General features: G+C 35.7%; 1 long non-coding RNA gene across 3 annotated transcripts in view; it reads left to right on the top strand.

Moving 5' to 3' along the window:
- LOC105370777 (uncharacterized) overlaps positions 1–25,923 on the top strand; it is a 556,255-nt gene that overhangs the window by 436,883 nt on the left and 93,449 nt on the right. For all 3 annotated transcript variants that reach the window (XR_007064588.1, XR_007064587.1, XR_007064586.1), the window contains one exon: positions 9,943–10,023. This is a non-coding gene — a long non-coding RNA (uncharacterized LOC105370777). The remainder of the gene's footprint in view (positions 1–9,942; positions 10,024–25,923) is intronic.

Here is a 25,923-nt window from a genome sequence, read left to right as displayed (position 1 = left end):
TCACCCGTCTTATGTGTAGACTGTGGGGCACTGATGCCCTCCCCACTCTACTCCCAGGCATGTCTCCAGGCATTCAGAGCACTTGCTGCCTGAATTAGCCACCTGAGCTGCCCCACCCTTCCTGTGCACAGATTGTGGTGCAGCAAGGCCCTCTCCGCTCCCTGTCCAGGCAGATCTCCAGGCACTTGTAGCACCTGGTTAGGAGTTTAGGCCTCCCTTCCTCCCCATGCAGAGAACTTGGGGTTGAGGAGGTTTCCCAGGTCCATACCTAGGCAAACCTCTAGGCACTTGGTGGCCACCCACTGGATTCTCCGTCAGCACTGGCACTTGTGCCTACCATTGGGAAGATTCCTAGGAGGGCCTGCACATCTTGGTTCCCCGCCCCCCGCCCCCATCCAGGGCTGAACAGGGAGCTTAGACCACTGTGCACTTCACAGATCAGCCCATTGCCTGAGCCAACAGAGAGCTTCTCCCAGTAAAAAAGGATCAAGTATATGCCCTTCCACGTTGGCTGTAGCCAGCTCTAACCCATAAGAGCCACCTATTGGCCTGGAGGTTGAACAACATAACATAATAGGAAATCTGTCACAAGCACACAGCACTAGGGAACAAGATACACCTCCTGTGACCACAGCCACCTTAACCCCACGGGATGTAGTGAGTCTGCTCACATGCCCAGTACATCACTACTGAAACCAGCACTTGGATAAGCCATCCTACAGAGGCTATAACCGGTGAACTTTTCTTTTGCCACTAAAAACACCCAGCACTGGAGATCTAACCCTCAGCATAGTCTGTTCCTAAGGGAGAGGGGAGTGTAGCCTGCCAAAGCCCCCCTTGTGCCCAAGGAAATGCAAGTACAGCACCAGCTGCTGAAGGCGGCACCACCATAACCCAGAAACGGATATGAAGAGGCTGTCATCTCTCACCCTCTGGCCTCCTTACTCTGTGCACTCTTGCAGGCTCAACAGTGGCTCTTATCAGAGCACAGGGAGTGTGGGGTGAAAGAAAATGCTTCTTAGGCTTATACAGTGGTTCCAACCCCATTGAAGGTGAAGAATGTATGCTGGGGAAGGGTGCTTTTCATGCTTCTCCATTCCCTTTGCCCTGCCCTTATTGGCTGGCTCTTACTCTTAACTGCCACCTAATGGACTGCAGTTTCAATTCAATAAAAAGACTTAACGATTTTAAATAAATACGCATCCAACATTGGAGAATCCAGATTTACTAAAAAAATTACTTCTAAACTTAAAAAAAGACTCTGGTAGCCACACAATAATAATTACTAAACAAAATTACATCACTGCCACAAGTGACCACGGAGAAAGCCACTACATGAACTTGTCCACAACCAAGGAACCCATACATACAGAGCCTTGGCACCCTGAAAGCATCCAGAAACAAACCCAATAGACCTTACACAAGATATACCACAGTCATACCCCCAAAGGAAAAAAGAATTAAAAAAATTAAAAAGCCCCATACAAACATTAGCATTTTTTTAAAAGGAAGAATCAGCTCTCTCAAATGAGATTTCTTCTCATTTGCACAAGAACTCTGGAAATACAAAAAGCTAGAGTATTTTGTCACCTCCAAAGGATCTCACTAGCTCCCAAGCAATAATGGACTCTAACCAGAATGTAATGTCTGAAATGACATGTATAGAATTCATAATATTGATGGCAAAGAAACTCAATGAGATCCAAGCAAAAGTTGAAATCTCACACAAAACAAAATGATCCAAGATTTGAAAGACAACATAGATATGTTAAAAATAAGATAAAAGGCCTAACAAAACTTCTAGAATTGAAAAATTCACTACAGGAGTGTCAAAATACAGCTGTAGCCTTAACAACAGACTAGACCAGGCAGAATAAAGAATTTCAAAGCTTGAAGACTGATTCTTCAAACCTGCCCAGTCAGGCAAAAATAAGAAAAAAAGAATTAAAGCAAAATCAATAAAGCCTTTGAGAAATATCAAGTTATATAAAGCCACCAAATATATGATGTATTGGCATTCCTGAGAGAGAAGAACAGAAAGTAAGCAACTTGGAAAACATATTTGAGGTTATAATTCAGCAAAACCTCCGCAATCTTGCTAGAAAAGTTAGCATGTAGATACAAGAAGTCCAGAGAACTCCTGTGAGATACTATACAAGATGACAATCTTCCAGGTACATGGTCATCAGACTATTCAAAGTCAACACAAAACAAAAAATTGTAAAGGCAGCTAGAGAAAAGGGTCATATTACCTAAAAAGAAGAAACCCATCAGACTAACAGTGGACTTTTCAGCAGAAATCTTATAAACCAGAAGACATGGAGGGCTTAGTTTTAGCATTCTTAAAGAAAAGAAATGCCACTCAAGAATTTCATATCCTGTCAAACTAAGCTTCATAAACAAAGAAGAAATAAAGTTCCAGATAAGCAATCAGCAAGGGTATTTGTCACAACCAGACCAGCCCCACAAGAGATGCTTAAGTGATCTCTAAACATAGAAATGAAAGAATAATTGCTACCACAAAAGCACACATAAGCACATACCTACAGACCCTACAGAGCAACTACACAACCAAGACTACAAAGCAACCAGTTAACACTATGACAGGGATAAAACCTCACATGTCAAAATTAACATTGAATGTAAACAGCCTAAATGCCCCCCTTAAAAGACACAGCGTGATAAATTGGATTTAAAAAAACAAAACCCATACTTCTGCTATCTGCAAGAGACCCATCTCACATATAAAAACACCCATAAGGTCAAAAGAAGGGAAGGTAGAGAAAGATCCATCAAGCAAATGGAAAACCAAAAAGAGCAGGATTCACTATTCTTGTATCAGATAAAATAGACTTTAAACCAACAACAGTAAAAAAGGACAAAGAAGGACATTACATGGTGATAAAAATTTCAGTTCAACAAAAAGACTTAACTGTTTTAAATAAATATGCATCCAACATTGGAGCATCCAGATTTATTAAAAAGTTACTTCTAAACTTAAGACTCTGGTAGCCACACAATAATAATGGGAGACATCCACACAACACTGACAGCATTAAACACATCATCGAGGCAGAAAACTAACAAACTCTGGACTCTAATACTTGACCAATCGAACCTAATAGACATCTACCGAATACTACATTCAAAAACTAGAATATACATTCTTCTCGTCTGCACATGAAACATACTCAAACGTTGACCATATCCTTGGCCATACAGCAAGTCTGAGTAAAGTCAAACAAATCAAAATTACACCAAGCATCTCCTCAGACCACAATGGAATAAAAATAGAAATAAATACCAAGAGGAACTCAAAACCACATAAATATATGAATATTAAACAACTTATTCCTGAATGACTTTTGAGTAAACAATAAAATTAAGGCAGAAATCAAAAAGTTCTTTGAAACAAATGAAAATATAGACACAACATACCAAAACCTCTGGGATATGGGAAAAGCAGTGTTAAGAGGAAAGTTTATAGCACTAAACACCTACATCAATAAGATAGAAATATCTTAAATTAACAATTCAATTTCACACCTGAAGAATCTAGACCAAAAAAAAAAAAAAAAACCGAAAGCTAGCAGAAGAAAATAACTAAAATCAGAGCAGAACTTTATGAAATTGAGACCCCCAAAAACACAAACAGAATCATTAAAATGAAAAGTTTATTCTTTGAAAGGACAAGATATATAGACCACTAGGCTCAATTAACAACAACAACAACAAAAAAAATCCAAATAAGCACAAAGTTAACAAAGGTGACATCCAACCAATCTCACAAATATAGAAAAGATCCTCAGAGACTGCTGTGAGCATTTCTATGCCATAAAACATGAAATCTAGAGAAAATGAATAAATTCCTGCAAACACACCGACTCCCAAGATTGAACCAGGAAGGAAGAAAAATCCTGCACAGGACAATAAGGAGTAAAAAAATTGAAACAGTAATTTTTTTTAAAAAACCCACTAATCAAAAAGGAAAAAAGCCCTTGAAGAGATGGGTCAGCCAAATTCTACAAAAAGAGCTGGTACCAATCCTACTGGAACTATTCCAAAAAATCTAGGAGGAGAGACTTTTCCCCAACTCATTCTATGAAACCAGTGTCATCTTGTTACGAAAATTCTGGCAAAGACACAACCGAAAATGAAAACTATAAGCCAGTATCCCTGATGAACAAAGATGCAAAAATCCCCAACAAAATACTAGCGGAAAGAATCTAGCAGCACATCAAAAAGATAATTCACTATGATCAAGTAGGCTTTATTCCTGGGATGCAAGGATGGTTAAATATATGCCAATCAATTAATGTGATACACCCCATAAACAGAATTTAAAAAGCAAAAATTATGTGATCATCTCAATAGATACAGAAAAAGCATTCAGTAAAATACAACATCCCTTCATGATAAAAATCCTTGACAAACTAGGCATTCAAGGAATATATCTCAAAATAATAAGAGCCATCTATGTCAAGCCTACAGCCAATATCATATGTAATGAGCACAAGCTGGAAGTATTTCCCCTATGAACTGGAACATGATAAAGATGTCCACTCTCACCATTCCTATTCACTATAGTACTAGAAATCCTAGCCAGAGCAATCAGGCAAGAGAAATAAATAAAAGGCATCCAAATAAAAAAATAAGTCAGATTATCTCTCTTCACTGATAATATGATCCTATACCTCAAAAACCCTAAAGATTCCTCCAAAAGACTGCTAGAGCTAGTTAATAACTTCAGCAAAGTCTCAGGATACAAAATAAATGTATAAAAATCAGTAGCATTTCTATATATCAGTAACATTCTAGCTGACAGCCAAATCGAGAATGCAATCCCATTTACAATGTCCACAAAAATAAAATACCTAGTAATACATCTAATAAAGAAGATGAAGGATCTCCACAAGGAGTACTACAAAAGAATGCTTAAAGAATGTATAGATAACACAAATAAATGGAAAATCATTCCATGCTCATGGCTTAATAGAATCCATATTGTTAAAATGGCCATATTGCCCAAAGTGATCTACAGTTTCAACACACTTTCTATCAAATTGTGAACATCACTTTTTCACAGAATTAGAAAAACCTATTCTAAAATTCACATGGAACCAAAAAAGAGCACAAATGGCCAAGGCCAACCCTAGACAAAAACAACAAAGCTTCAGACCTTTCTCACATTACAGGTCTTCAAACTATACTATGAGGCTACAGTAACAAAAGCAGCATGGTACTGGTTCAAAAATAGACACATAGACCAATGAAACAGAATAGAAACCCCCAAAATAATGCTGCATACCTACAAACAACTCATCTTCAACAAAGTTGACAAAAATAAACAATGGGGAAAGGACACCCTATTTAATGAATGGTGCTGGGAAAACTGGCTAGCCATATGCAGAAGAATGAGAATGGCCCCCTACTTCTCATCATATACACAAATTAATTCAATATGGATTAAAAACTTAAATGTATGGTGTCAAACTATTAAAATTATAGAAGAAAGTCTAGGAAATACTCTTCTAGACATTGTCTTAGGCAAAGAATGTATGATGAAGATCCCAAAAGCAAATGCAACAAATGAAAAGTAGACAAATGAGATTTAATTAAACTAAAGAGCTCCCACAAAGCAAAAGAAACTCTCAACGAGTAAACAGACATCCTAAAGAATGGGAGAAAATATTTGCAAACTCTGCATCCAACAAATAACCCAGAATCTATAAGGAACTTAAAAAAATCAACCAGAAAAAAAAACAAACAATCCCATTAAAAAGTAGGCAAAGGACATGAACAGAGACTTCCCAAAAGAAGACATACAAGCCACTAACAAATACATGAAAAAGTGCTCAATATCACTAATCATCAGAGAAATGCAAATTAAAACTCAACTGAGGTACTATCTCAAGCCACTCAGAATGGTGATTAGTGAAAAGTTAAAAATAATAGATATTGGCAAGGTTGTAGAGAAAAGGGAACGCTTATATACTGTTTATGGGAATGTAAATTAGTTCAGCCACTGTGGAAAGCAGTTTGGAGAGCTCCTAAAGAACTAAAAGTAGAACTACTATTTGACCCAGCAGTTCCATTACTGAGTATATTTACCCAAAGGAAAATAAATCATTCTTCCAAAAAGATAATATGCACTCCTATGTTCATTGCAGCACTATTTACAATAGCAAAGATGTGAAATCAACCTAGGTGCCCATCAATGATGGATTGGATAAAGAAAATGTGGTATACATAAACACCATGGAATACTACATGGCCACGAAAAGAACAAAACCAAGCCCTTTACAGCAACATGGGTGTGGCTGGAGGCAGTTATGCTATGTGAACTAATGCAGACACAGAAAAGCAAATATCACATGCTCTCACTTAAAAGTGGAAGCTAAATCTTGGATTCACACAGACATAAAGATGGGAACAATAGACAATGAGGACTTTGAAAGGAGGGAGAGGGAAGGCAAAGGCTGAAAAAGTTTCTATTGGGCACTATGTTCACTACCTGGATGATGAGGTTAATAGAAGCCTAAACCTTAGCACCACGCAATATATCCTTTAACAAATCTGTACATGTTCTCCCAAATCTAAAATATAAATGGAAATTTTTAAAAGTATGAAGATGCTGCTAGTTTTGAAGTAAATATTAAATAAATGAGCTTGATCCTAGTAAATCCCATCTAGTTCATGAGCAAGGTGACTAGGCTGCTTGGTAATACAGTTGAGCCATGGTTTGGTACGGACCTTTTTTGCTCAAATAGCTTTTACACATGTCATTAAGAGTTTCATGTTAGAGCCTCAGGTCCTATTTACATCTGATTTTCCCCCCAAGACATAAGTGAGAATTAAATCCACAAAGTGTATTCCTAGTCCAGCAACAAAATGCTCTTTTAAAATCTGAGAGAAATTCTTATCTCTATAGAAAATTAATTTTTTTCCCTGCAGAAAACCTAAACAAGCAAGATTGCCTCTAGGTTTTATTTTGCTGCTTCTTCATTAGAAGCTGTGAGAAGCTGTCTCCCAAGAAACAGACCTGCTGCATAATAACCTATGAATACACAGATTTTAATATAAAAATGAAATGATCTACAATTGAGTTAAAACCACCAAGTTTTAAAATACAAGCCTAATCATAATTGTGATACAAAATAACTGGTCGAGCTTTGAAAATTATATTCAAAAATAAAAGCAATCGTTACTATTAAAAAACATACACAAATAATGCTTAACTTATATAGAACTGAAAGTTCAAGAAGTTTATACCAAATAATGAATGTAATAAAGTTCACTTGAATTATAAGAGACAGTTCTGAAAAATTACGAAACAATTTGAAATTACTACTTGAAATGACTACTTCAGAATTTAAGAAACTTATAGGTTCGTTTTTATTTTGACTTTTATTTGATGACTATATTTTAAAATTAGGTCAGTAATAGCTTAAAACCAGATTTTTTTTTATTATACTTTAAGTTTTAGGGTACATGTGCACATTGTGCAGGTTAGTTACATATGTAAACCAGATTTTAATTAGGTATATTTTTGTGTTTTACTATTTCAGTTATTGCTTAAGAATTCTGGTTGCCTGCGTCAACTGCCATGTCTTTAAATTATGATTTTTTAAATGTTTTATTTAGTTTATTTATTAGAAACATATGAATTCAGTAATCTATTTAGGACATAAATTAACAAACGGATCAAAAGCACTTACATATAGTAAACTTCCTCACTTTAAATTATTTTAACAGCCTGGGCATGGTGGCTCACACCTGTAATCCCAGCACTTTGGGAGACTGAGGCAGGCGGATCACCTGAGGACAGGAGTTCAAGACCAGCCTGGCCAACATGACAAAACCCTGTCTCTAAAAATACGAAAAAATTAGCCAGGCATGGTGGCAGGCGCCTGTAATCCCAGCTACTTGGGAGGCTGAGGCATGAAAATCACGTGAACTTGGGAGGCAGAGGTTGCAGTGAACCGAGATTGTGCCACTGCACTCCAGCCTGGGGGGTGGAGTGAGACTCTGTCTCAAAAAAAAAAAAATTATTTTAACAATCCAACAATTTCATTCTTCAATATATGTACCCCCCCAAAAATGCATACATGTGTATTAAAAATTGTGTTAAGAATGAGCATGACATCCTTAATATTAACTCTAAATTGAAATGACCCAAATGTTCCTCAAAAATAAAACTGACCAATAAATTGTGGCATATTAATATGATGAAATACTCCACACAATGAAAAAGCTAAAGTTACAAGCACAAACATGGATGAATCTTATACATGCTTTTGAGCAAAAGCCTGGTAACATAATACATGTTGCATACTTCCATTTATATAAAGTTCCAATTACAGTAAGCATTAGGAGTCACCATAGAGCTGTTTAGGGAGTAGTTAATAAGTAATGGTTGGGAAGAGAGACAGAGTAGGATCCTGAGCGGGAGGGATTATTTCATGATCCGCGTGGTCATTACATAGATTTATTCATTTTGCATTAATTACTGAATGATTTGGATACTTTTCTGTATGCATATTGTGCTTTAATTAAACAGTTTTTAAAATTAGAAAAGAAAAAAAAAGAAATCCTGGGGTCACTGCTCCCATCCTGTCTTTCTTAGATTCCTCTGCCTCTTGAGTCACTAGAGCTATTTGACTAAGGGGTGGGCAAAATAAATACCAGTCTATCATTTGGCATAGAATCTTTGGGGGAACATAGTTCCGTGATGTGTAATAAGGTTTGTGTGGGATAGGTGAGTAGAGTTGCTCCTTAATTTACCATGGCAGAGAGAGGGAATCAAGGACAGAGAGGTGGTGGCTGGTATAAGAGACCTGGAAGAAAGAGTCCCTCCTTGAAGGTGGGCATGGCGATGAAACTGCCCATAGCCAAGTGTGTATTTCGCCACTAAGTAAGGCTAATGGCCAATTTGGGATGAGGAGATAAAAATGATCTATAAAGTGCCCCTAGGATGAAAACATATGGCCTATTTCCAAGCTTAAAAAAATAAATTTTTCGCCGGGCGCGGTGGCTCACGCCTGTAATCCCAGCACTTTGGGAGGCCGAGGCGGGCGGATCACGAGGTCAGGAGATCGAGACCATCCCGGCTAAAACGGTGAAACCCCGTCTCTACTAAAAAATACAAAAAATTAGCCGGGCGTAGTGGCGGGCGCCTGTGGTCCCAGCTACTTGGGAGGCTGAGGCAGGAGAATGGCGTGAACCCGGGAGGCGGAGCTTGCAGTGAGCCGAGATCCCGCCACTGCACTCCAGCCCGGGCGACAGAGCGAGACTCCGTCTCAAAAAAAAAAAAAAAAAAAAAAAAAAAAAAAAAAAAAAAAAATAATAATAATAATAATAATAATAAATTTTTCTTATAGGCCCATATAAATGATTTAGCAATGTTTTTCAGCCTACAGATATAAAATCATTTTAATAATCACAATCAGCCTCATTTTTATCCCATGGATTGGGATAATATAGAATAGTGCATTCCCAAGTAGCAAGGATAAGTATTGTTTTGTCAAACTGTCTTAGTTGTGCATCTGTGTGTGTGTGTGACACATGGACGTGTGCACAGAGACACAGAGAGTCGGACAATAATATAAAATGCATTTCTTACTCAAGTTACTCTCAGAAATGTTTGAAAGCCACGCCTCTATGGAAATCTTCAGTTATTTTTTGTTTTGTTAGCCATGGCATTTGTAAACATTTCTGAAAATTTTCCTGGCTTACGTGTAAATACCCTATTTGTTTCTAAAGTAGAGGCGAATTTCCATTTTGATCATTCTTTTGCAGCCAAAAGTTGTATAAGAGGCATTGTGATATGTTTTATGTGAAAGGCAAGATGCGGTGTGCTATGACATGTTGGAAAGAAAGATTTCTAAAATTGCTAAATGTTTTTTGAAAGAAAACAGAACTATCAATCTTTTCTACCCCCAGGAACATTTCAAATTGGCTTAAAGCATTGTTTTGGAGGTGTGAATAATGAAGCCAAGGACATTAGCAACATCATGAAAGCAGGTATGACCCAAAACATTCCAATGTTTTGTCTAGAAAACTCCAATCTGCCCTTTTCGTTCATACATTTCCAAATAAAATAAGTGGCCTCCCAGCAGAAGTCTTAACATACATGTCTCTGAGCAAAGGGAAAATGTATAGGTCTCTTTTTGATGGCATGAAAAGGCCAGTAAAACCCATGGAACATTCATGAGCATTGCTAAGTTTTCTGTTGTAATAAATGTCCATTTTCTGGAAACTCAATGAAGGAGAATCCAGTTGACCTCTGATAACACAAGTCCTTTCCAGTCTTAGTTATCACACCAATTCACGTTGGACACAAATCTATATAAGCCATTAAGTCTTCACAGTGGCTGAATAACCACATAAATGGACATTTCTCCAATGAGGGCTCCAGTTGCATTTGCTCTGTGGCCAGTATTTCCAGGCTTTGATTCTTATCTCAAGTACTTCATTCAAGGCATTATTTTCCTCAAAGCCCTATGTTACTTCTTTTTTTTTCCCCCATCCTCACTCATAGAAATAGAAATGATCTTCGTTCTTGACTTCTCACATATATTCCAAACTTCCAAATGCTCATGGGAGACCTTAAATTTGACATCTGGTTGTCCCACCAATTTCAACATTTCCATCACCCAAACTCTTCATGTTTCTCAAGCTTTCAGTCAAGATCCTTCACAAGTACCCCCATTTTATATAGGGCTACCATTATTTCTTCAGGCAAGACATCCAAACATCACTTCAAAACTCTTCACTCACAATTTCCAATCTTGCAAGAGGATTTGTTATTTCTTTCCTTGAAATGTCCTTGAGATTTGCCCTTTTTATGTATTTATACTGAAACCACCATATTCATGGTTGTCATCAGCTTATGCCTGGATTACTGCTATATCCTTCTTATTCCTGGTTTAGCTGATGAGGAAATTATGGGCAGGAGGATAACTTAAAACTTGATTAAGAATGTGCTGTGTCAGACACTATGCTAGTCACAGAATATACACCGCAAATAAATAAGACCCAACACCTGACATCAAGTCACTCAGAATCTCTTGGCTGCTACTGCTAAACTTATACCAGGCATTCTTAAACGTTACTGTCATCGTGTCACTCTCCTCTTTCAGAACTTGGAATGCTTCACATATTTGCTTCATTAAGTACAAATGCTTTTGTCTGATTTTTGTAGTTTTTGCTATTTGGAAAGCCTGCATCTGTCCTACCTTGTTCGCCTTTATTCCCTCACATGGCTCATTTTATTCATCAAGCATAAAATGCTACTTGCCACTACATGTTCCATACAGTTCCTTTCCTTGACTCCTGATCACCCTTCCTGGAGGCCTTCCTTTCTCCTTCTCCCACACAAACCTTATCTGTCCTTCAGGGCCCATTTGCCAGCTTCTCTTTTCCATAAAGCCTTCTGAAATTTTTGCAAACCAATTCTTCCCGTCCCAATGCCTATTGTTGGAGATAATTCTACCTTAGAATTGAGGGACAATTCTATAGTTAGGGGACAGTTCTACCTTAGAGCACTGAGTGTGCTATTAATTTTACCATGTGTTTAAGGATGTTCCTATACACAGAAATAAACTTTTTGATCTTCTCTTAAATACTGGATGTGGGCCCCATACCACCTAGTACTGTGCCAAATCAATAGTGGATTTGGCCTTCACGAGGCATGCTTTTCTGTCTCATCACTCTATTACGTCTCCTTATTCATCAAGTGTTCAGTGACTGACCACCTGTGTCTGGCCAAGGGTTAGACATTTGGGGTTAAACATATTGTATTAGTCTGCTCTCATGCTGCTGTGAAGAAATACCCAAGATTGGATAATTTATAAAGGAAAGAGGTTTAATACACTCACAGTTCTGCATGGCTTGGGAGGCCTCAGGAAACTTATAATCATGGTGACAGAGGAAGCAAACATGTCTGATATGATTTGGCTCTGTACCCACCCAGATCTCATCTTGAACTGTAGTTCCCATAATCCCCATGGGAGGGACCTGGTGGGAGGTAATTGAATCATGAGGGCAGGTTTTTCCCATCCTGTTCTTGTGATAGTGAATAAGTCTCACAAAATCTGATGGTTCTATAAAGGGCAGTTCGGTGCCCTTGCACATGCTCTCTTGCTTGCCACCATGTAAGACATGCCTTTGCTATTCCTTCCTCTTCTGCCATGATTGTAAGGCCTCCCCCCAGCTATGGGGAAATGTGATTCCATTACATCTCCTTTTCTTTATAAATTACCCAATCTGGGCTATGTCTTTATTAGCAGTGTGAGAACAGATTAATACAACATCCTTCTTCACAAGGCAGCAGGAGAGAGAATGAGTGCCCAGCGAAGGGGCAAGCCCCTTATAAAACCATTAGATCTCATGAGAACTCACTATCACAGGAGCAGCATGAGGGTAACCACTTCCATGATTTAATCACCTCCCACCTGGTCCCTCCCAGGACACATGGGGATTATGAAAACTACAATTCAAGATGAGATTTGGGTGGGGACAAAGCCAAGCCATATCACTTATGCAATCAAATAAATATTGATAACAGAAATAAATACATAGTACAGCAGAAGCCCAGGGGAGGAGAGCCTAACTCTGTCTTCAAGAGTAAAGGGGATCCTCCTAAAAAGGATGTTCTTTCCTGCCCGGAATAGCTTTCCTTTCTAGTTTAACTAGCAATTTCTCTCAATCCCTGAGGCTTAGTTCAAAGTTTACCCTTTCTCTGCAGTTTTTCTGTCAACAACAACAAAAAAATAGTGGTCTTAAAATTATACATAAAGAAGTAAAAGAAAGACCCAGAAAAGTGTGATGACTTGCCCAAATGATGTATGCATTTTATTCATGTTCTCCATGAATATTTTTCTTTTTGATATTTGTTTGGAGTAATTATGCTTATAAATTACTTTTTTTAGATTTTGTGGTAACTACATATAAAGGGCAATCTTGATGCCAGGTGTGTTAGAGTTATTTGCAGAAATTATTTGGACTCTGTGACCCTCCTTGTCTTTCTTTTTTCTATTTCTGTACTTAATTTCTTGAAGGCTCTAAATGGACATAAAAGAGTCTATATAGGATGCTAGAACAAGCCCCAAACTGTATGGCTAATCTAGTGAGTATGTTTTGAAAAGGTCTCGATTTCCTTCCCTAGATCACAGGGAAGAAGTGTTTGATCTAACCCACCTAACTCTCATTTCCAACCAGTTGTGAAAACATGCCTCTCAAGATTTCAGACTGCTGGAATAGAGAGGAGTAAATAATCAGCGGAAAGTGGTTAAACATAGATCAGGGTTTAGATTTATAAAACCTCAGCAAGCTGGTCTGACGACTCCTCCATGGAACTCCAACCAGAGCTGCTCTTGTCGGTCATGGACATCTCTTAACTTTGATTAACCATTTTAGTGTCAGAGCTCTTTATTTTTTCAATATTTCTAATAATGTAACTGTACTATATTGCCATTTTTTAAAGTGTAAAAATTTACTATGTCCATTCAAATTAATTCAGTAATTTTTTTTTTTACTAATTCCTATGCCTCAGACATTGCAAAATGTCACTGAGGGAAAAGGACTCAGCATTAAATATCAGCTTACAAAATCACTGGGAAATTTCCATTAATACAAATGAATGTACATAAGTTTATTTCTTCTTTTAAATTATTGTCATATAATACCTGTGTGGGAGACAGTATGAAAAATGAAAAACACAAACTGTCTTACACTATTGGCAGGAATAAAAATGGCACTCTCAGAGTCTTTTGTTACTAGCTATCAAAATATCAAATATTTCTTCTTTTGATCTATCAACTCCACTACCATAAATGTAGTCTACTGGTATATTTTTATTGCAGCATTGTCTATCTATTAATGGAGATGTTTAGATAAAATACAGCAAAGGCATTCTATGATATATAATGCAACTATTTTCTGAAAATGAGACAGATCCATATATACTGATATGGAAATGTTTCTAAAATGTATTATTTTTTAAAAATTGGAGCAAACTTTTGGGATATCATTTATATTTTTAAAAATTCTTTGTAAGAACTTCCATTTTGAACCATAAACATAAAAGTAATGGGTCAGACTTTGTCTCAAATAACTAAAAAAGTAAACAAAATATTTTTAAGCAACTCTGTCTAGAATTTGACAATAGACAAGAGAGAGTTGTCTCTGATCTTTGAGAAAAGGGAAACACACGAATGAGCTTCAAATTTGCCACAGTTTTCTACTTCAAAAAACCTTACCAACTATGGTGCAGTAAAGCACAGACCAAACAGACAGCAGCAATCTCTCTAAGTGAAAGAGGGATCAAAATTCAGGGCTTCTAGGGAAGGTGGAATTTGAAGGGCACAGTACAGGAGAGAAGGAAGCTATACATGATATATCCCCTTGAATATTAAGCTGTGCATGTAAAGTGTGAAACCCTGAAAAAAAATCTGGGATAACAGCTACTGAAGGATTGTGAGCTGGAAGGAGATTCTGGAGATTATACAATGCTGAAATATGGTGGAGTTCCAACCAGTTAAGTGTAGAGACCTTTCTAAATACTCTGAGCATTTAGTTAAGACCTCAAAAACTACATACCATAGAAAAGTGCTACTGTATCCCAGTATAAAGGTAATCTTAGAGTAGCCTCAGCAAAACTCCAAACCAAGCTTTGCTTGGATTAAGCTGATTCTCCAATAAATCAACTACTTTCTAAAACCAAAGCACTGTTCAAAAGAAAAAAAAAAAGCAAACTGTCTTCAAGAAAAAAATATCTTCCTTGGTCAAAGAGTTCTATTTTTAGTTCTTTGACATACCTCCATTCTGTTTTACCAAAGACGTTGAACTACTTCAAATTCTCACCAACAGTTTATAAGCATTCCCTTTTCTCCACATCCATGCCAACACTGTGGTTTTTTGACTTTTTAGTAATAGCCATTCTGACAGGTGTAAGATGATATCTCAGTGTAGTTTTAATTTGTATTTATCTGATGATTAGTGATGTTGTATGTTTTAAGAAATATCTGTTCATGTCCTTTGCCCACTTTTTAATTTTTTTTTTTTTTTTTTACTTGTTGAGTTGTTTGAGTTCCTTGTAGATTCTGGATATTAGTTTTTTGATGAAGGTATAATTTGCAAATATTTTTCCCATTCTGCAGGTTGTCTGTTTTTTTTTTTTTATTATTTATTTTGCGGTGCAGAAGCTTTTTAATTTAATTAAGTCCTATTTGTCTATTTTTTATTTTGTTACATTTGCTTTTGGGATTTTCATCATAAATGCTTCGCCTAGGCCAATGTTCAGGTTTCCTTTTAGATTTTTACAGTTTCAGGTCTTACATTTAGGTCTTTAATCCATCTTGAGTTAATTTTTATATACAGTGAGAGATAGGGGTCCAGTTTTATTCTTCTGCATATGGCTAGCCAGTTTCCCTAGCACCATTTACTGAATAAGATATCTTATCTTCATTGTTTATTTTTGTTAATTTTATCAAAAACCCTTCCACCCAGCAATTCTGCTGTTGGGTATCCACCCAAGGGAAAGGAAATCATTACATGAAAAGACACCTGCGCTCACATGTTTATCACAGAACTATAGCTATCAAAATATCACAATAGCAAAGTCATGGAACCAACCTAAGTATCCACAAATGGTTGATTGGATAAAGAAAATGTAGTATATATACACTATGGAATACTATGCAACCATAAGGAATGAAATCATGTGTTGTGCAGCAACATAGATGGAGTTGGAGGCCATTATCCTAAGTGAAGTAACTCAGAAGCAGAAAATCAAATATCACCTATTCTCACATACAGGTGGGAGCTGAATAATGGGTACACATGGGCATGAGGATGTAAATAATAGGCACTGGGGATTTCAAAAGGGTGAAAGGGGCTTGGGGGTTGAAGAATTAGCTATTGGGTACAATGTACAATATTTTGTTGATGGGTACACTAGAAGACCAATCCCCACCATTATGCAATATGCCCATGTAACCATGTGACAAACCTGCACATGTACCAACTGAATCTAAAAGTTAAAATTACTTCAAAACATTAAAGACAAAATAAAAATAATAAAATCCTTAATATCCAACATATGCTAAAATAAAATGTTAGGCATGTAAAAATGAAGGAAATATGATTTATAATGAAGAAAAAATAGTAAATGGAAACAGGCCAAATGATAATACAGATGTAAAATTTAGGAGAAAATGACTTAAAAGGAAAAGAAAAGGAAAATATGGATCTAATGAGAGTCTAGGTGGAAATCTCAAAAGAGAGGAGAAAAGGTTATACCAAAAAAAAACAAAAAATCTAGGGTGGAAACATACAATATCTGAAATGAAAAGTACATTAAATACACTAAAAAAAGATTGAACACTCCAAAAGAAAGTAAAGCCTTTGAAAATTGTTTAATATACAATATGCAAAATAAAATATACAGAGGGAAGGAAGACTGAAAAAAATAATAGAGACACAGTGACTGTGAGACAATATTGAGCATTCTAACATATGTGCAATTGGAGTCCAAGATGGAAAGGAGTGACAGATCAAAACAAAGAAAACAAAAGTTTGAAAAATAATGGCTAAAATGCTAGAGAAAATTTTAAGAGCAGCCAGGGAAATATAGAACACATACAGAACAATAAGAATAAGCACTGTCTCCTCATCAGAAACAATGTAAGCTGGAAGAAAACGGAAAGGCATCTTTTACGTTCTAGGAGTAAAAACAACTTTTCAACCAAGAATTTCATAGGTTAGAATTTTATAGCCTGAAAAAAATGAAGGTAAAATAAAAATATTTTTAGATAAATAACTGAAAACATTCATAATTAGCTGATATGGTTTGGCTGTGTCCCCACCCCAATTCCATCTTGAATTCCCACCTGTTGTGGGAGGGACCCAGTAGGAGTTAATTGAATCATGGAGGTAGGTCTTTCTTGTGCTCTTCTTTCGATAATGAGTAAGCCTCATGAGATCTGATGGTTATTATAAGGGGGAGTTTTCCTGCACAAGCTCTTTATGCCTACCACCATCCACATAAGATGTGACTTGCTCCTCCTTGCCTTCTGCCATGATTGTGAGGCTTCCCCAGCCATGTGGAAACTGAGTTCTCCATTAAACCTCTTTCTTTTGTAAATTGCCCAGTCTCAAGTATGTCTTTATCAGCAGCTTGAGAACAGACTAATACAGTAAATTGGTATCAGGAGTGGGTTGCTACTGAAAAGATACCCAAAAATGTGGAAGCGACTTTGGAACTGTGTAAAGGCAGAGATTGGAACAGTTTGGAGGGCTCAGAAGAAGACAGGAAAATGTGGGAAAGTTTGGAACTCCCTAGAGACTTGTTGAATGGCTTTGACCAAAATGCTGATAATAATATGAACAATGAAACCCAGGCTGAGGTGGTCTCAGATGGAGATGAGAAACTGAGAAGCCTCGTCTCTACTAAAACTACAAAAATTAGCTGGGCATGGTGGCACATGCCTGTTGTCCCAGCTACTTGAGAAGCCCAGGCAGGAGAATCGCTTGAACCCAGGAGGCGGAGGCTGCAGTGAGCTGAGATCTCGCCATTGCACTCCAGCCTGGGCAACAGAGCAAGGCTCTGTCTCCAAAAAAAAAAAAAAAAAAAAAAAAAGCAAGACCCAAACATATTAAAAAAGAGACATTTGAAAATAAAAAAGTGGAAAGATATTTAGAATGTATATGAAAAGAGAAACATCAGAGAGATCATAAAGATATTTTTAAAACAAGGGATTATGAACTGTTTGTGACAATAATCAACCCTATACAAACTCTTTCAGAAAATAGTAGAGGAGGAAATACTTCTGCACTCATTTTATGAGGTCAGTATTACCCTAATATCAAATCCAGAGAAAACATAGGAAAACTATAGAAAAATATTCTTCATGCAAAAATCATAAAAATTCTTAATTAGATATTAGGAAACTAAATTCAGTAGTATATAAAAATCATAATGCATCATGACCAAATGAGGTTTACCTGGAATGCAGTATTGGTTTACTGTTTGAAAATCAATCAATGTAAACTACTATGCTAACAAAGGCCAAAAGAAACCACCATATGGTTATTTTAATAAATGCAGAACAATAATTTAATGAAATTCAACACTCATTCATGGTAAAAATCCTCAGCAAACTAGAAATAAAAGGAACTTCTTCAACCTGTTCCAGGTTAAGGAAGTTCAATCATCTATGAAAAATCTCCAGCACAGCACAGAAGATGTTTAGGACAGTGAAACTGTCCTGTATGATACTGTAATGGTGGATACATGACTTAGACATTTGTCAAAATCATGACAACTGTACACATGTACAAAGAGTGAACTCTCATATAAATTTTGGACTTTAGTTAATAAGAATGTGCTATGGTCCGAATGTTTGTCTCTCACCCAAAATTCGTAAGTTGAAATCTAATCCCCCATGAGATGGTACTAGGAGGAGGGGCCTTTGGAAGGGGATTAGGTTCTGAAGGTGGAGTCCTCGTGAATGGCATTAGTGCCCTTACAAAAGAGGCCTGAGAGGTCTTGTTTGACCCTTCCACCATGTGAGGACACAGCAAGAGGAAACTATGATATGAACAAAAAATGGGCCCTCACCAGACACCGAATCTGCTGACACCTTGATCTTGGACTTCCCAGACTTCAGCAATGTGAGAAAGAATTTTTTTCTTCGTTTAAAAGCTATCCAGCCTGTAGTATTATCTTACAGCAACCTGAATGGACCAAGACAATAATTGTTTCTCAATTTTAACAAATATTCCACACTATTGCAAGATATTAATCAAAGAAGAAATTGGGAGTGGGGAAAGGGAGCATATAGGAAACCTCTGTACTTGATGTTCAATTTTTCTGTAAACCTAAGATTGCTCAAAAAATTAAGTCTATTAATTTTTTAAAACCTATGGAAAATATCACATTAAATAGTACTTTCCGCCTAAAATGGGAAACAACACAAGCATATCCATTGTCACCACTTCTATTCCACATTGTGGTAGAGGTTCTGGCCAGCACAACCAGGCTAAATAACTAAGTACATAGTATGAAGATTGGGAAGTAAGAAAGAATATTATCTTCATTTGTAGATGATATAATGATTACACACACACACACACACACAAAAATCCTAAGGAAACTACAACAAAATTCCTAAACCCATTAAGTGATTTTAGCATGGTCACAAGAAGCAAGGTTAATATATAAAAATATATTGTATTTCAACAAGTGAGCAGTGAACAGTTGAAAAAAAATAAAATAGTAACAATAGCATCTACAATAGAATCAGTAAGTACACAATACTCAGGCATAAATTTAACAATAAGTGTGCAAAAGCTGTAGAGTGGGAAGTATCCAGCAGGCTTTTTAAAAGAAATTTTGACAGGCTGATTCTCAATATATACAGAATTTCAAAAGGCATTATAATAACAAAACAATCTTCAAAAAGAACAAAACTGGAGCATTGATACTACCTGATTTTAAGATTTACGGTAAAGTTACAGGGATCATGACAATGTGATATTAACTTAAGAATAAATGTACAAATCAATGGAATAAAATCAAAAGTCTAGAAGCAGAATGACAAGCATATGGTCACAATGTTTTTTAAATGGTACCAAAGCAAATTAAAGCAAAAGGAAAGTATTTTGAAAGCGTCATGCTGGCACAACTGGATATCCATATTTTTTAAATGAACCTTGACCACTATCTCATACCACATTTAAAACTTAATTTGAGATGAATCATAAACATAATTATAAAAGCTAAAACTTCTGAAAGAACACAGAGGAGACTATCCTCGCAATGTTTTGAGGAGGCAAAGATTTTTAGGCAGGATACAAAAAGCTCTTACTAGAAAAGAAAAAAAGATAAATTGTACTACACTTCCTTAAAATTAAAAACGTCTGTTTAAAAAAGACAATATTAAGAAAATGAAAAGGGAAGCCAGAGACTATGGGAAAATATTAATAATACCTATATCTGAAAAAATGATTTGTATCCAGAAAACATAAAGAACTCCTGTAACTTAATAATGAAAAGATAAACAGCCTGATTAAAAAGTTGGCAAAATATTTAAACAAGCACTTCTCAAAAGAATGTACAATTGCCTCTATCCACATAAAAAGACGACCCAAATCATTAATCATAACGAAAATGCAAATTAAAACTAAAATGATATATTACTTCATACACAGGAGGTCTATATGTTGAAGATGTGTAGCAGCTGGATTTCTCAGACACTGCAGGAGTGTAAAGTGGCTCAGGTATTTTAGAAAGCTGGTATCTATCTATCCTATGACCCAGGGATTTCACTTCAAGGAGAAATAGAGACACAAGTCCACAAAAATACTTTTATATGAACGTTCACATTCATGTTATTCATAATAATTTAACTGGAAACAATTCAAATATCCATCAAGAAGAAAACAAACAAATGTTGGTATACTTATACTACGGAATAGTGAAAACAAATAAGTCACTGATGCATGCAAATAAAATGAGTGCATTTCAAGAACATTTTGCTAAGTAGGTGACGCCAAACATAAGACACTGTATGATTCCACTTACATTAAATCCTGCAACAGGTAAGGATTTGGTATGAGAAAGCAGAAGAGTCTCATGGCCTGCGACGTGAGGTCGGAGCAGGGATTGACTGGGAAGGGGCATGAACGAACTTTCTGGAGTGGAAATATTCCATAACTTGATTCATTTTGGGGGGGCATACAGATGCTTGTATTTATCATGACTCTTTAAATTTTGGTATGCAGATTTCACTACATGTAAATTAGATCTCAAACAAAGGGAAAATGTTTTACACACACACACACAGCCTAAAGAAAGAAGAATGAGAAAGATATTTTGTTCTTTTAATTTTCTTAATCCATCCCAAGAAACTGTAAGAGTGTCTGGCACATAATAGGTACTCAGTACTTACTCAGCTCAGTGAATGAAGTGACATGCATGAAAAATTTTGAATGAACAAGAAAGTATAAATAGTAGTTACCTTTGAAGGTCAGCCAAGTAAAAGACAAGAGGATGTTTACTTACAACTTTACGTCTTTCTTCATAGTCCTCAGTACATACTACCTCCATACACGGGTGTGCACACGCACACAAACACACAAACTTTCAGAACATTATCATGTTATATTTATGTATGTTTTTTTAAAATCTAAATTTTGGTAAAAATTAAATATAAGTGTCTGGCACCTAATAGAGCCTAATGTATTTTGTTGAACAAATGAATAAATAGATAAACGATTATTTTCCACACAATTTTAGGTGGTTGAGTTTTTTAATGATGTTAAGCCATCTTTACATAATTTGTGCTTGTCAAAAGGTGAACTAAAAATTTCATAGTACCCGCTAGCAATGAAATTAGCTATCACTCACAAAGAGCATCATGGAGATTAAGTGTTGCTAATCTTCCCAACAACTTTGCAAGGCTAGTGTTAGTATCTCTACCTTACAAATGATAAAAGCTGAAAGCAGGGAGGCTAAAATGGTTTGTCAAGACTCGTGAGGTAGAGATGGGCAAATTCAGCATTTATTGCTACATCTGACTCCTAAACTTACGCTTTTTATAATGCTTTCCTTTGCCTTTCCTGTATTAAAAGCTAATAAAGAAGAAAGTAAAATAAAAAGTCACGTTTGAAAAAGGCAAATTAAGTTTAGAATAAAACAGTCAGACAACTGGCTTTTGGATAAAGATAGTCACCAGAAAGAAGAGTTGCTAAATGCCAGATACAAAATCCGACGAGGGGTAGGCCATCTAGACTGTTACCTGAAGCGCTGATATGGAGGCATTAGAATATCTGTAGAATCCATCAGAAATGGGAGGCTTGCTGAGTAAGATTTTCTTAAGTGACTTTTTATGTAATGACAAATACAAATTGTCCAAGTTCAGCTGAAGCGGACAGTGCTTCCGATGGAAATGTAAAGAGTCCTCATCCACAAGGACATGCCTCTGCTGAATAATTTTGCAACACACACATGCAATTGCAGTCAGCCAAAAGACAGCAGTAGCTGGCAGCTGAAACTCAGAGACCAAAAAATTGAGCAGCACAATGCTGTTCATGGAACTGAGGAATTTCTTTCATTATCTAAATCTTTAATAAGCTTGCCAAGAAGTTGTCTGGTTTGGATAATCACAAAAGAACAGAGGACAGAATAAGAGCTATAGGAAAGCAGGAAATGTTTGTCTCCTATTTTTTTTTTCAGACTTTTATCTTTTGGGTAGCAAAGTGAATTAATACATAAATCTATTTCTATATATGTTTTTACTAATATAAAATCAGAGTATCCCTACATCTTTAAGTAAATGTTAAATAAATATTTTAAAATTCATTTTGAAATGATACCAAATTATTAGTCTGGAGGCACCCACGTGTCTAGGTCCAGCCTTGGCTGTGTTTAGTCTTTCTTTTTATTTCTTTTGTCATGGAATCATGGCACGCACATGCAAAAGCAAAGACCTCCCCTAAGATTAGGAGTCTCTGAGGGAAAACTGCAGTCTTAAAACACATTTTTTAAAAAAATATATCAGAAACAATTTTGAGTGGTATGCAATTGAACCCTAAGATGAGTGTGGAATGTAAATGTGTTTTTGAAATTCAGACATGACAGTGGGCAATGGCCAAAAGCAAAGAGTTCACATTTGATGTAAGCCTTTTGCTCTACTTGAAAGTAGAATTTGGGACTGAGAATTAAATACCACACACAGGTATAATTCCACTAAAAAACTATGATATCCTATTCTATTTCTTCTTCTTAGCCACTCCTTACCATCTCAACCATTTCCGTAACTTGATGCCTCTCAGTATCACACACACACACATACACACACACATTACATGTACACAAGTCCTCATCCTAAAGGAAGATTTTAAGGAAAAGTGTGTGGCTGATTATAGTAGCTACTTATACAACAGAATTAATTCAGTAATTTGCAAGAGCTTCTCACAGATAATTGTCCTTACTGAAAAACAGAATTGCAAAAATAGTCCCAATGAAGACAAATTTTATATCCCTTGGATTCTTCCACTAGCATAACTTCCCTTCAAACATCAACACAGGTGATGGTTACCAAAAAGTTCCCATTCAGCTTAGGACAAAATAATAATGCTGTGCATTTGGCACCAGTTTGAAATGGAAGATGCTAACAGCTCTCTTTTGAAAGAGACTTCTGTAAGCAACAAGAACTTGGCCTGCTTCTAATTCTTCGACATCATTTGTAGTATTAAAGGTAAAAATACCAGCATCACTCATTAGCTAAGAGGTAATGTTTTCTGTTGTTTCTTCAGCACTGAATTAGATGTTCACATGACTTTGTGTTTCTCTCTTTGGTCACCAATGGAGAAGTTTTCTTTGGAAACATTAGCATATAGAGAGGAACCCCTTCGTGGCAAAGAGAAAATAAATTGGAGGGTATTATTTTTGAAGTATTTTTGTATTGTAATAGGTTATTTTTGCAAAAGATTATAGGGATAAACCACTCTCTTACTTTTAAAATAATAAATCACATTAAAAATCTGCTTTAACTCAAATTGAAAATACGTAAGTACAGAAATATTATCCTACTTTTTCATAATGGATCAGAAATCACTTCCAACCCTAAAGTTACTTCAAGCAATATGGAGGAGAGAAAATAAGTAGAAATAATTCCTGATCTTCTTTCCATAATTAAGAAGAAAGTGAAATCACATTCTAATACACGTGCCAATCATGCAAATGTTTTCTATAGATCTTCACTGGTGAAAGGAAGCATTGAGAACTGTAGAAAATAATTCTACTGGTATTTTACAACATATAAACAGTGATATGAAAATACATACTTGCTATTTTATACCTACTCTGACTTCTATATGGCTCTGTTCTTGTAGGCATTCTAATTTTTATGATGATTACGAATGAGATAAGTAAATGATTCACAGGAAAGATATAAGAAAAAATGTATCACAAGGAAATGAATTAAAATATGATTTTTGATTCAGAGTAAAACTACAAATAAATTTCAATCTTCTTTTAAAGAAAAACTTCAAATCAGCATCAGTTATATAGCTACTTAGAAGAAACAAAATTTCAGGAAAAAAATATAGTGTGTTTTGTAAGCTTAAAAAAGAATAAATTAAAATGTTGGAGAAGGTCTGGTGAATTAGTTAAAGGAATCAGGCCTCCTAATCTGTATTGATATTCTAATATAAAGGAAAAAAATAGTGAGAATACAATAACTGTTAGGAGATACCTTCATACCTCATACTGTGAAGAAAATGCATGGCCTTAAAAACTTAGAGAAAAGCAGGAAAAAGAAAAATATAGAAAGTATACATACAAATCAATTTTACAGCAATGTTTTGTTTCTTGTTAGTACATGAAAAATCATTGGAGATTGTCAGTTACCCTACTAACAATGAGAACAAGCCAGATAAGCTACAAAATCATACTTTTAAAAAAAATTCATCAGAAAGCCAAGGACGCAAATAAATCTAAATGAACTAAATTCCATAAGTGACAAGCTCTTCCTAGGAGAGAAGGAACATGACTGTTTTTCATCCCTAGTGGAGCTGCCAGAGAAGAAATAACCAATATAACTTACTGGTTGTACACACCAGTAGGAAGACATTAGCCAAACTTTTTGAGAACTCATAATGGCAAGTGAGGGCTGGTATGGCAGATTAGAATCACAAGGAGCCCCAAGAAATGATTTCCACACTCATCTGCTGAGTGTTTCCCATGGACCTTCACTGAGTGCATGGAAATCATACACTGAAGGCTGGAGATGAGACAGGAGAGCAGAGGGAAATTCTGAGGTACTCCAGGTTGGAAGATTAAAGAGGTCTGTCACAAACTATTTGACATGATTCCTGTCAAGATACTGTCAAGATACAGTAATCTATAACCTTTCTCCTTAATCTAGGCAGGCTCTGTGGCTTATTTGGCCAATAGAGTAGGACAGAAGCAATCTAGAGCCAGTTTCTGATCTCAGACATTAGGAAATAAGCATTTTGGTAATTCTTGTTTTTTTTGTATTTTCATATAATTATACAATCAGTTTGTCTGTTTAGAGGTCTCTCACATCTTTGTTGAATTGTTTTCTATTTATTGCTCTTTGATGCTATGGTAAATGGCATTTTTAAAATTTAATTTCTAACTGATGGTTACTAATAGTGAGAATATAATTGATTTTTGTACATTGAATTATATCCAACAATTCTGTTAGATCCATTATAAATGTTTCTCTGTATATTATTTTTAAATTTCTAAAAGTCTGGCATCTGTGAAACATGACAGTTATCTAATTTTATATATTTATTTTTTAATATTATTGCTCTGGATAGAATCTGTAGCATGATGTTGAATGACAGTAGTGATAAATAAGCAACTTTGTTTCTGATCACAGTAAAAAAATGTCTTAAAACCTTACAATTATATATATTGTTTAATATAGGTTTTCTGTAGATAACCTGTCTCAGATTAAGGATGTTCCCTTCGATTCCTAGTTTGCTAATAGCGTTTTATCATAAATGGATGTTGAATTTTATCAAACACTTTTCCTGTATTTATTGAAAGAAGGTAGAAAATTATATATATATATGATATATATTGTATATATGTATTACATAATATATATACTGAAAGAATTCATATGAGATTGGTATTTTATATTCCATAAAATTTGGTAGAAATCATTGATGAATATAGAATTTTGTCAGAAAGCTTTTAGTTAGGATTTTTAAATTACTTTAATTAATAAAAATCTACTCACATTTCTTTTTGTGTCAATTTTGAAAATTTGTGATTTTCTAGGAAGTTATCAATTTCACTTACATTTTTATATTTATTCGAAAAAATGTCTTATTTAACATCTGTAGAATTATTGCAGTAAATAATTCTACATGATGGTA

This window comes from Homo sapiens, chromosome 15 (assembly GCF_000001405.40).
Source record: "Homo sapiens chromosome 15, GRCh38.p14 Primary Assembly".
Taxonomy (NCBI): domain Eukaryota; kingdom Metazoa; phylum Chordata; class Mammalia; order Primates; family Hominidae; genus Homo; species Homo sapiens.
Note: the sequence above shows the minus strand (reverse complement) of the source record. Positions and strands in the feature narration are given on the sequence as shown.